The 13,070-nt window shown below is 46.0% G+C and overlaps 2 annotated features.

Annotated features, from left to right (window-relative positions):
• Nucleotides 5,606-5,845: an enhancer, noted in NCBI's record as "active region_18069". NCBI's record gives its function as "activates an Ori minimal core promoter by ATAC-STARR-seq in GM12878 lymphoblastoid cells {active_cell/tissue: GM12878}" and the evidence as "EXISTENCE:reporter gene assay evidence [ECO:0000049][PMID:35858748]".
• Nucleotides 7,372-7,895: an enhancer, noted in NCBI's record as "H3K27ac-H3K4me1 hESC enhancer chr20:48400170-48400693 (GRCh37/hg19 assembly coordinates)". NCBI's record gives its function as "activates a minimal SCP1, AML or CMV promoter by ChIP-STARR-seq in naive H9 embryonic stem cells {active_cell/tissue: H9 hESC(naive)}" and the evidence as "EXISTENCE:reporter gene assay evidence [ECO:0000049][PMID:30033119]".

Raw genomic sequence — 13,070 nt, 5'->3', positions numbered from 1 at the left:
TTTATCATTGTTGTGAGCCTACGGCAGATACTACAGATTGGCTCACTCACCTATCCCATTCCCCTGTAGTGTGACCTCCTGTACTGTAAAGGCCAGACAGAGAAAAACTACATTCTGAGATTTCTTTGCAGCAAGAGTGCCTTATGTGATCTGGGTTCCCCTAGTAAGCCTTGGAGACAGAAGCAAGCAGAAGGATGCCAAGTGGTGGAGTCTTCTGGCAAGCACAGTGGGAGCGGTATCTGGTCCTTCTGGGGAAGCATGGGGCAATTCTAGCAGCCTGTCTCTAGCTACCTAGGTCCTGAGTTTGGGGAGAGGGGGGCAGCAGCAGCAGTGATATTTTGATTAGAACAGTTCAACAGTGAAGGTGAGTGTTGCTCCTGGCATCGATGCTCCTGGCTGCACCGTTTGTGGCTATTTAACATCTAGAGTACTTCCTACCTTTCATAAATCCCTTTGTGGGCCAGGCACGGTGGCTTATGCCTGTAATTCCAGCACTTTGGAAGGCCGAGGCAGGTGGATCACTTGAGGCCAGGAGTTTGAGACCAGCCTGGCTAACATGGTGAAACCCCATCTCTACTAAAAATACAAAAAATTAGCCAGGCGTGGTGGTGCATACCTGTAATCCCAGCTACTTGGGAGGCTGAGGCAGGAGAATCACTTGAGCCCTGGAGACGGAGGTTGCAGTGAGCCGAGATTGTGCCACTGCAGTCCAGCCTGGGCAACAAGACTCCATCTTAGAAAAAAAAAAAAAAAATTCCTTTTCTGCTTAAGCTGGCTCTAGTTGACTCTGCAATTTAGAATTCCTTGCCCAAGCACTCCATAAATATTTCTTGAATGAATGAATGAATGAATGATGACCTCTCAGGAATCTCTCTCTTTCCCACTGATTATATCCCCAAGATGGAACATCTCAGTCTGAGTCTACATCACAGGCCCCAGATGGGTAGGGTTCTTTCAAAGGTCAGGGACAGGAAAATGACGTTGAATGTCCTTATCACTGGCCGGACAAGAACACTGAGGCCTTGCAGATGAAAGAATCCGAGGAAGGAACTGGGGTTATCTCCTAAGGCAGGTGGGGGGCGCTGGCTAGGAGCCTTGGAATGAAAAGGGTTGGGAAAGGTTAGTGTGTGAGAATGAGGTGGAGAGGAGGCAGCCAGGGTGGATCACTCAGCTGTCCCAGGGCCTCTCAGGGGGCTTTCTCTTACTGGGTCCCTTTCTGCTATGCACACTGATAAGTCAACTCAGTGCATATACTTCCTTTGAGCTGAAAAGCAGGCTGGAAAAATACAGTTATGAGGCAAATATTTTAAAAGAATTCTTGAACCATGCGTCTGCCAGAGCAGCTTTAGCTGTGCGTGACAGAAAACCAATCTTACGAAACGTTTAGGTTGGTTTCCTGCAGAAGCAGATCTGAGACAAGGATTTGTGTGCAGATATTAAATCGTTTACTTGAGAAATGATCCCAGGAAGCTCTGGTCGGGGAGGGAAGTAGGACAGGGAAGGGAAAGAAACCAATAGAAGGTAAGTTACTGAGCAGGTTATCACTCTGGGCAGCTGGGGCTCAACCCTGCTGGGGAACTGTGGGACACAGAGTGCAATACACCTCAGAATTATCCAGGTGAAGGGCAAGGGAGTGGGGACATTTATCCACCAGCCCCTGTCACTCATTGGTTAAGGGCTGCTTGTAGGGGAGGGTGAAGCCCCCAGCATTCTCAGACTGTGTATGCAGAGCGTATATGAGAGCAAAGCCCTCAGGCTGCAAAGATAGGCGTGGAAATTTGAAGCCATCCACTCACTGTGGGTCAAAAGGATGAATGCCAAGGGGATATGGACACAGAAGCCACGTCATCTGCTACAGTGACTTAAGTCCAAAGAGGAACCATATTGAGGATGGGCGCGGTGGCTCATGCCTGTAATCCCAGCACTTTGGGAGACCAAGACAGGTGGATCACTTGAGGTCAGGAGTTCAAGACCAGCCCGGCCAACATGACAAAATCCTGTTTCTACTAAAAATTCAAAAAAGTTAGCTGGGCGTGGTGATACGTGCCCATAGTCCCAGCTACTCAGGAGGCTGAAGCAGGAGAATTGCTTGAACCCGGGAGGTGGAGGTTGCAGTGAGCTGAGATGGTGCCACTGCACTCTAGCCTGGGTGACAGCGAGACTCCATTTCAAAAACAAAAAACAAAAAAACAACAAAGAGGAACCATATTGACTCATGGAGAATAACATGTTCAGGAATATGTGGCTGCCTTCAGGTACAGCTGGATTCAGGGGTTCATAAGTTATCAGGGCTCAGTCTTTCACTCTCACAATGGTGGCTACCTTTGAGCTTCAGACCCTCTTCATACCAGCCTAGCGCAGCAGAAGCAAAACAATCCCAGCAAAAACCTGAGGGATAACTCACTGGTCCACTTGGGGCAGGTGCCCATTTCTGAGCCAATCCCTATGGGCAGAGAAATGAGGGGTGCTGATTGGCCAGCATGGAGCATTGGCCTTCCTGGAACCAAGGATAAAGTTAGTGCTGCATGCCTTTCACATGGACAGGGAGTAAAGAAGGGGGCTCCCAGAGAAATTAGGATGCTGTTATGATAGGGGAATTCATAGTGAGTAGACAAAACCAAAAGGATAGATGTAATCTAAATCCCCACTCTGCAGACAAGGAACTACTACCTTAAAAATATACAATAAAATATTTTTTATTATCTATCCCTAGGTAAGGGAAGGGCCTTGTCCCAGCTCATTCAGTTAGCAGCACCCAGCTTCCTGTCTTCACCTGGTGTCTTTTCTTCTGGAGCAGGTGGTCTCCCAATAAACAGGGTTTGTTTACCCAACACAAACACATTAGTGTCCTTCCTGTCCTAGCTTCTTCTCCCAATCCACACTCAAGGTGACTCTACTACATATATTCCTGTTTTTTGTTTTTAAGAGACAGGGTTATGCTCTATTGCCCAGGCTGGAGTGCAGTGATGTGAAGAAGCTGGGACTACAGGCATATACCACCACACCCAGCTGATTTTTTTTTTTAAACTTTCTGTAGAGTTAGGGGTCTCACTATATTGCCCAGGCTGGTCTCAAACTCCTGGCTTCAATCAATCCTCCCGCCTTGGCCTCCCAAAGTGCTGGGATTACTGGCATGAACCACCCACTGTGTCTGTCTACTTCCTGCTTTTGTTAAATTAAAAAAAAAAGAACATATTTATTTATATATATATATATATATATATATATAGACAGAGAGAGAGAGAGATGAGACAGATATAGCTATAGATAGATAGATAGATAGATAGATAGATAGATAGATAGATGTATACACATATGTTGAGATGGGGTCTTGCTCTGTCATCCAGGCTGCAGCACAATGGCGCAATCAAGGCTCACTGCAGCCTCAACCTCTCAGGCTTAAGTAATCCTCCCACCTCAGCCTCCTGAGTAGCTGGGGCTACAGGCACACGCCACCATGCCCAGCTAATTTTTTTAAAAAATTGTTTTGTAAAGGCAGGGGTCTCATTGTGTGGCCCAGGCTGGTCTCGAACTCCTGGCCTCAAGTGATCCTCTCACCTCAGCCACACCTGGCTTAAATAAATATTTAAATCCCTATTTTCAAGACAGAGAAACTGAGAGTTTAAACAAATGATGTAATGCTGGGGTTGACATGAGCCATGTGGGCATGTCGGGGAACAGTTCTTCACTGGCTATAAGTTAGTCATGTGGCTACCCCTAGCTGCAAGGAAGGCTGAGATAGGTAGTAAAGCCATGGGAAGCCATGTGCCAAGCTAAAAATCAGGTATACTCTTACTAGGAGAGAGAAGACAAGAACACAAATTAAGGGATCATTTGCAATCTTTGACCAAAACAACTGACTCTGAGATGATCCATAAAAGGTAACTGCTATTGTTGTCTCTTTTTTGAAAAACTCAGAAGGTATATTTGTTTTTGTTTGTTTGTTTCTGTTGAGACAGAATCTTGCTCTGTCACCCAGGCTGGAGTACAGTGGTGCAATCTCGGCTCACTGCAACCTCTGCCTCCGGGGTTTAAGCAATTCTCCTGTTTCAGCCTCCCAAGTAACTGGGATTACAGGCGTGTGCCACCACACCCGGCTAATTTTTGTAGTTTTAATAGAAACGGGGTTTCACCATATTGGCCAGGCTAGTCTTGAACTCCTGACCTCAACTGATCCACCCACCTCGGCCTCCCACAGTGCTGGGATTACAGTCATGAGCCACCCTGCAGGGCCTCAGAAGGTATATTTGAAAGATGCGCATAAATGCTGGGTACTGATATCGTTCTGCACTGGACTTTGGAATCAACAAAATAGAGTTTAAATTTTTATTTCATGCCTTCCTGGGCTGTATGACGTTAGGAAAGTTCCTTAACCTCTCTGAACCCTGCTTTCATCATTTGCTAAGCAAGGATAATGGTATATTACTCATCAACGGCTGGGAAAATCAAATAAGACAATGGACATAAAGTTGAAGTATAGTATTCAGTCCAAAGAGGGTGTTCAATACATGGTCATTTTATTGATAAGGAGTGTATGCTGGGTTAGAACATGAGCTTGGAGATCAGAGAGACCTGGCTTTAAATACAGACCTTCACTTCCTGGCTGAGCAAATTATTTAACCTCTCTGTGCCTCAGCCTCCCAATATTTGAAATGGAAGCAGTAACAGTTCCAGCCCACTGGGTGGCTGAAGCATGAAAGAATGGATGGCACATTTTATTTTATATTTTATTTTATTTTATTTTATTTTATTTTATTTTTTGAGAGATGGAGTCACCCTCTGTCATCCAGGCTGGAGTGCAGTGGCACGATCTCTGCTCACTGCAACCCCTGCCTCCCAGGTTCAAGCGATTCTCCTTCCTCAGCCTCCCAAGTAGCTGGGATTACAAGTGCCCACCACCATGCCCAGCTAATTTTTGTACTTTTAGTAGAGATGGGGTTTCACCATGTTGGCCAGGCTAGTCTCGAAATCCTGACTTCAAGTGATCCACCCGCCTCGGCCTCCAAAATGCCCGGCCAGATGGCACATTTAAACCAGTCAAGCAAGTATGCTTTCGCTTTATTTTGTGTTATTATTAGGTTCCTTTTTCTCTTTGAGGGCATGGAGGAAGAGACAGGGTCAAAAGGCTGTTGCTACAAACATACAAAGTTTGTAGTAAGTAAGTCTTACACAAAAGAATACGTGTTATGTGCTGCCATTTCATCAAGTTCAAAAAACGGCAAAAATCATCACTGCTGTTGGAATCAGGATAACGGTTATCGCTTAGGATGGGAAAGACTTGAAGGGAGCTTCTCCGGGGCGGGGAATGTTCTGTTCCTTGAGCTGGGGGCTGGTTACCCCGCTGTCTGCCTTTGTGAAAATGTATCGAGCCATCGCTCCCCTGTGCACTTTCCTTATTTGTGCACTTTTCTGTATGTCTGTTACACTTCAATAAAAAAGTTTTCCCCCAAAAGTCTCTGTGGTCTGTTGGAAGCTGGCAATGGCCAAGGGGCTGAGGCGCACAGGTGGGGACCCTTCCTTGCTAGCCACCGCAGTTTCTGTTTCAGCTTGAGGTACAGCAATCAACTTCCTCTTCAGATGCATGACTTGCTGCTGACCTCTAGAACCTCTGGCCACAAGGCTCCTCTTGCCCCTGTAATGTGGCCTGATTCCATTCCTTCATCTGGGTCCAGTCTGGTGCCAGCCAGCCTGACTGTCCATATTATCAGACGCCAGGACTGTGGGACAGACTTGTTTAGAAGGATATTTTGATCAGTAGCCTTGGGTGGCAGCTTCAGATCAACCTCATATTGAACTTACAAGGAGGGTTGGTGCTGTCTGTTCTTTCTTTTTTTTTTTTTTGAGACAGAGTTTCACTCTTGTTGCCCAGGCTGGAGCGCAATGGCACGATCTTGGCTCACCGCAACATCTGCCTCCCGAGTTCAAGCGATTCTCCTGTCTCAGCTTCCCAAGCTGGGATTACAGGCATGCGCCACCACGCCTGGATAATTTTCTATTTTCAGTAGAGACAGGGTTCCTCCATGTTAGTCAGGCTGGTCTTGAACTCCCAACCTCAGATGATCCGCCCACCTCGGCCTCCCAAAGTGCTGGGATTGCAGGTGTGAGCCACCGCGCCTTGCCTGTTCTTTTATTCATTAATTCAAACGACAAGTTGTAGACACCTAACATGTACATGGTTCATGGTTTGTACAAGGATACTTCATTCATGCATGCATGGATTCATTCATTCATTCATTCACATACCTGCTAGGCACTGTGCTAGGTGCTGGGAACGCATCTGTGTAGAAAACAGACAAGGTCCCTGCACTCCTGGAGCTGATTCATTAGTAGAGGGAAACGGAAAATAAATAAATAAATTGCCCAGCATGATGGTTCACTTATAATCCCAGCACTTTGGGAGGCTGAGGCGGGTGGATCGCTGGAACCCAGGAGTTTGAGATGAGCCTGGTCAGCATGGCGAAACCCCTTCTGTACAAAAAATACAAAAATTAGCCAGGTGTGATGATGTGCACTTGTGGTACCAGCTACTTGGGAGGCTAAGGTGAGAGGATTGCTTGAGTCCAGGAGACAGAGGTTACAATGAACCATGATCACACTACTGCACTCCAGCCTGGGCAACAGAGTGAGACCCTGTCTCAAAAAAATAAAAATAAACAAGTAAATGCACAGTATGTTAGATGGTATGAGTGCTACGGAGAAAATTTAAGCAGAGACACGGACAGTGAGTGCAAGACGTGTTTGGGGGCAGGTTGCAATTTTTAATAGAGTGTTCAGAAAATGACTTCCTGAGAAGATGGCATTTAAGCAAAGACTTGAGGAAGCCAAGGGAGTTGGCCATTTGAATGTATGAGGGAGGGCTGGGTGTGGTGGCTCACACCTGTAATCCTAGCCGTTTGGGAGGCTGAGGTGGAAGGAATGCTTGAGGCCAGGAGTTTGAGATGAGCCTGGGCAATATAGTGAGACTCCCATCTCTACAAAACAATAAATAAATTATTTATTTATTTATTATTTAATATATTTCATTATTTAATATATATATTATATATAAATATATATACATATATTATTTAATATTATATATAAATATATATATATTTAATATAATAAATAAATAAATTAGCCAAGCTCGTGGCACACACCTGTAATGTCAGCTACTCAGGAGGCTTAGGTGACAGAACCAGAACCTGTCTAAAAAAAAAAAAAACAGTATGTGAGGAAAGCCTGAGAAGGAGCAACCATCATTAAAACAATATTGACAGGCCAGGTGTGGCGGCTCACGCCTGTAATGCCAACACTTCGGAGGCCGAGATGGGCAGATCACTTGAGGTCAGGAGTTCAAACCCAGCCTGGCCAACATGTCAAAATCCCATTTCTACTAAAAATATAAAAATTAGTGGCTGGGTGCGGTGGCTCACACCTGTAATCCCAGCACTTTGGGAGGCTGAGGCAGGTGGATCACCTGAGATCAGGAGATCGAGACCAGCCTGGCCAACATGGTGAAACCCCATCTCTAGTAATAATACAAAAATTAGCTGGGCGTGGTGGCACATACCTGTAATCCCAGCTACTCGGGAGGCTAAGGCAGGAGAATCACTTGAACTCAGAAGGTGGAGGTTGCAGTGAGCTGAGATGATGCCACTGCACTCCAGCCTGGGAGACTGAGCAAAACTCTTGTCTCCAAAAAAATTAGCTGGTCATGATGACGGGCGTCTGTAATCCCAGCTACTTGGGAGGCTGAGACACGTGAATCACTTGAACCCTGAGGGCAGAGTTTGCAGTGAGCTGAGATCTCACCACTGCACTCCAGCCTGGGCGATAGAGCGAGGCTCCGTCTCAAAAAATAAAAATAAAAAATAAAAAAGACAGTATGGCTTTCTCCATTTGGATGCTTGCCCTTCCATCCCAGCTGCCATAGTTGGAAAGAAGCTCAGGATACGTAGAGAGGCTGTGTGTGGGGCCTCAGCCAAGCCCCAGCCAGCAGCCTGCATTAGCTGCCAGACAGTGAGACTTCAGGTAACTCTCGCTTCTAGCCTTTGAGTTTTCCAGCTGAGGCCTCAGTGCTGGCATTACAGGAGTGAGCCTTAGAGCAGATAGAATTTTTCCCCACTATGCCCTTCCTGAATTCCTATCCTACAGAAATTTGGGGTACTCTGTTAAACAAACCCCAAATGAGGAACATTCTATGAAATAACTGGCCTGTATTCTTCAAAAAATGTCAAGGTCATAAAAGACAAAGAAAAGCAGAGGCATCATTTCAGATGAGAGACAATTAGGCCAGGCGCGGTGACTCAAGCCTGTAATCCCAGCACTTTGGGAGGCTGAGGTGGGTGGATCACTTGAGGTCAGGAGTTTGTGACCAGCCTGATCAACAAGGCGAAATCCCATCTCTACTAAAAATACAAAAATTAGCAGGGCGTGGTGGCAGGCGCCTGCAGTCCTAGCTACTCGGGAGGCTGCGACAGGAGAATTGCTTGAACCCAGGAGGTGGAGGTTGCAGTGAGCCAGGATTGTGCCACTGCACTCCAGCCTGGGTGACGGAGCAAGACTCCGTCTCAAGAAAAAAAAAATAAAAAAGACAGACAAAACATGGTCCTGAAGTGGATCCTGCACTAGGCGGGAAAAAGCTGTAAGGGATTCTTTTTTTTTTTTTTTTTTTTTTTACCACAACTGACAAAATTGGCGTATGGATGGTAATCAAGGTAAATTTTTTAGTAACACTGCTGTGATTACAGAAAATAATATCTATTTTCTTTTATGTTATTTTTGAGACAGAGTCTCACTCTGTTGCCCAGGCTGGAGTGCAGTGGTGCAGTCTCAGCTCACTGCAACCTCTACCTCCTGAGTTCAAGCGATTCTCTTGCCTCAGCCTCCCAAGTAGCTGGGGTTACAGGTGTGCACCACCACACCCGGCTAGTTTTGTATTTTTAGTAGAGACAGGGTTTCGCCATGTTGGTCAGGCTGGTCTCAAACTCCTGACCTCAGGTGATCCACCCGCCTCAGCCTCCCAAAGTGCTGGGATCACAGGAGTGAGCCACTGCACCCAGCCTATAGCAAATAATATCTTGTTCTTAGGAAATACATGCTGAAATATTATGAGGTAAATGGGGCATCAAGGTAAATTTTCTGAATTTGGTAACAGTGCTGTGGTTACAGCAAATAATATCGTGTTCCTAGTAAACATATGCGGAAATATTAAGAGGTAAATGCGGCATGATGTATGAAAACTATAATAGTTCAGAAAAATAATAATAATAAACATAGTCACATGAAGAAAGAAAAGATAATAAAACAAACATGGCAAAATAGTAAAGACAGGTGATTCTGGGTAAAGGGTATATGGAATTCTCTGAATTATTCTTGTTATAGTCCTATAAATTCAAAACCGTTTTGAAACCTGTAATCCTGATTATATCTCTGAAAGGGAAGTGGGTGGGTAAAGGAACAGGGAGGAAGGGAGACCCACCCATTTTTCACTCTTTACTTTCACTCTGTACTTTTTGAAGGTATTCATGTAGTCAAATAAACAAGTAAAAAAAAGGGAAAATAAAAGTTCACTTATTAGACACAGATTCTAGGCACTGTGCTGAGCCAGTCAATACTTGAGATGATTCTCATTTATTCCCCTCTACTCTGCCCATTGCATGGAGGAGGAAACTGAGGCTTAGAGAAAGAAAGTGATTTGCCCAAGGCAGAACCCAGAGCCAGAAATTAACCCAGGTCAGTCCACTACAAAGGCCTCAACACTCAGTTGGGCAGGGTCTTTGCCTTTAAGGAGAGATTCCTTGAAACCCTCTTCACTGTTTAAAGAAAAAATAACAGGCTGGGCGCGGTGGCTCACGCCTGTAATCCCAGCACTTTGGGAGGCCGAGGAGGGCAGATCATGAGGTCAGGAGATTGAGACCATCCTGGCTAACACGGTGAAACCCCGTCTCTACTAAAAATACAAAAAATTAGGTGAGTGTGGTGGCAGGCGCCTGTAGTCCCAGCTACTCGGGAGGCTGAGGCAGGAGAATGTTGTGAACCCGGGAGGTGGAGCTTGCAGTGAGCTGAGATCGCGCCACTGCACTCCAGCCTGGGTGACAGAGCGAGACTCCGTCTCAAAAAAAAAAAAGAAAGAAAGAAAAGAAAGAAAAAAAATTGAAAAACCAAGCACCTGGCTCTTAGCTTTGTGGCTGTGGATTGTCCATTGTAAAGAATAATCTGGGGGGCCGGGTGCGGTGGCTCACACCTGTAATCCCAGCACTTTGGGAGGCCGAGGCAGGTGGATCACGAGGTCAGGAGATCGCGACCATCCTGGCCAACATGGTGAAACCTCGTCTCTAACTAAAATACAAAAATTAGCCTGGCGTGGTGGCTTGCGCCTGTAATCCCGGCTACCCAGGAGCCTGAGGCAGGAGAATCGCTTGAACCTGGGAGGCGGAGGTTGCAGTAAACCAAGATTGCGCCACTGTACTCTAGCCTGGGTGACACAGTGAGACTACATCTCAAAAAAAAAAAATAATAATAATAATAATAATCTGGGGAGGCTGGGCACAGTGGCTCACACCTGTAATACCAGCACTTTGGGAGGCTGAGGCGAGCAGATTACCTGAGGTCAGGGGTTTGAGACCAGCCTGCCCAACATGGTGAAACACCATCTCTACCAAAAAATACAAAAATTAGCCAGGTGTGGTGGCAGGCACCTGTAATCCAGCTACTTGAGAGGTTGAGGCAGGAGAATCGTTTGAACCCCGGAGGCAGAGGTCGCAGTGAGCCAAGATCACACAACTGCACTCCAGCCTGGGTGACAGAATGAGACTCCATCTCAGGAAAAAAAAAAAAAAAGAAAAAAAAAAAGAACTTTGCCAAGGTCACATAGCTGGCATGTGGAAAAAGCAAGGGTCAAACCTGGGCAGCAGGGTCCACACTGTCCGAATACTGTGGGTATCTGTGACTTGAGCCTGCCCAGAATCCTAATTTTCCCTTGGGGAACTACCCCACCCCTATAATCTATATGGTTTGGGTGAAGCTGACCACAAACCTGGCTCTAGAATGGGTTGTATCACCCAGTCTTAGCCCACCAGAGCAGAAAATTATCCTGGCTATGGCGATTAATTCAAAAGTGACCCCAGTCAGATCAGTGTGAACCTTCCATCAGATCTTTACTAAACACTATAAGGAAAAAGATACTCCCTCAGGGTAGTAAGAGCTCAGCAGTCTAGAGCTGCCAAGGCCATTTTTGTCACCTACTTGAAAAGGAAGGCAGCACAGGGCAAATCTGAACTGGAGAAATAGAGCAAGACAAAGTCCCACTGACATTACTTAAGCTCCTGGATCCAGCCATACCTGAAATACTCCTGGATTTTTCAACTGTGTGAGCTAATGTATTCTGCTCCCCTCCTTGCTCATTTTGGCTCAGGCTAGTTGAGCACATAGTAAGTGCAGATGTTCAAACATAGATCATGGTTTAGGTCATGATCACAGCCTACCCCATTATTATTATTATTATTATTATTATTATTATTAAGATGGAGTCTTGCCCTGTCACCCAGCCTGGAGTGCAGTGGTGTGATCTCGGCTCACTGTGGCCTCTACCTCCCGGGTTCAAGAGATTCTTCTCTCTCAGCCTCCCAAGTAGCTGGGACCACAGGCATGCACCACCACACCAGGCTAATTTTTGTATTTTTAGTGGAGACCAGGTTTCGCCATGCTGGCTAGGCTGGTCTCGAACTCCTGACCTCAAGTCATCCACCTGCCTTGGCCTCCCAAAGTGCTGGGATTACAGGCGTGAGCCATTGTGCTGGGGCCTATTATTATTATTATTATTATTATTATTATTATTATTATTATTTTGAGACAAAGTTTTCCTCTTGTTTTCCAGGCTGGAGCGCAGTGGTGCTGTCTCGGCTTGCTGCAACCTCCACCTTCTGGGTTCAAGCGATTCTCATGCCTCAGCCTCCCAAGTAGCTGGGATTACAGGTGTGTGCCACCATGTCCGGCTAATTTTGCACTTTTAGTAGAGGTGGGGTTTCTCCATGTTGGTCAGGCTGGTCTCGAACTCCTGACCTCAGGTGATCCACCCACCTCGGCCTCCCAAAGTGCTGGGATTACAGGCGTGAGCCAGTGCACCTGGCCCCTATTATTATTACTTTTTAAAACATTTTCCTGTAAGAGCTTTACTGAGATATAATTCAGATACCACATAATTTACCTATTTAAAGTGTATGATTTCATGGGTTTTCATTTTCATACCTTTGGAGTTGAGCAACCAAGTCCCCAATCAATTTTAGAGCATTTTCACCACTCCCAAAAGAAACCCCATACACGTTAGCAGTCAATCCCCATTTTCTCCCAAGTCCCCCTGCCCTGGCAACCACTAATCTACTTTCTGCCTCTACAGATTTGCCTATACTGGACATTTCACATAAATGAAATCATGTAACATAAGCTCCTTTATGCTGTTCATTTGTTTTTTGTGTTTTGCTCGTTTTTTTGTTTGTTTTATGGAGACGGAGTCTCGCTCTGTCACCCAGGCTGGAGTGCAGTGGTGCGATCTCAGCTCACTGCAACCTCCGCCTCCCAGGTTCAAGCAATTCTCCTGCCTCAGCCTCCCAAGTAGTTGGGACTACAGGTGCGCGCTGCCACGCCCAGCTAATGTTTTGTATTTTAGTAGAGATGGGGTTTCACTGTGTCGCCCATGCTGGTCTTGAACTCTTGCCCGCCTCTGCCTCCCAAAGTGCTGGGATTACAGGCATGAGCCACCGCACCCGGCCAGTTCTTTTGTTTAACATGTTTTTCCAGTTAATCTGTATTGTAGTAAGTGTCAGCCTCTATTTCTTTTTATTGCTCAGTAAGACTCCATTGTATGGATACATACATTTATTTACTCATTTATAGGCTGGGCGTGGTGGCGCACACCTGTAATCCCAGTACTTTGGGAAGCTGAGGCAGGCGGATCACCTGAGGTCAAGAGTTCAAGACTGGTCTGGTCAACGTGGTGAAACCCCGTCTCTACTAAAAATAGAAAAATTAGCTGGGTGTGGTGGTGGGCACCTGTAATACCAGCTACTTGGGAAGCTGAGACAGGAGAA

The sequence above is a fragment of the Homo sapiens genome, chromosome 20 (assembly GCF_000001405.40).
Source record: "Homo sapiens chromosome 20, GRCh38.p14 Primary Assembly".
NCBI classification, from domain to species: Eukaryota; Metazoa; Chordata; class Mammalia; order Primates; family Hominidae; genus Homo; species Homo sapiens.
The sequence above is the reverse complement of the archived record's forward strand: the minus strand, read 5'-3'. Positions and strand labels throughout refer to the sequence as shown.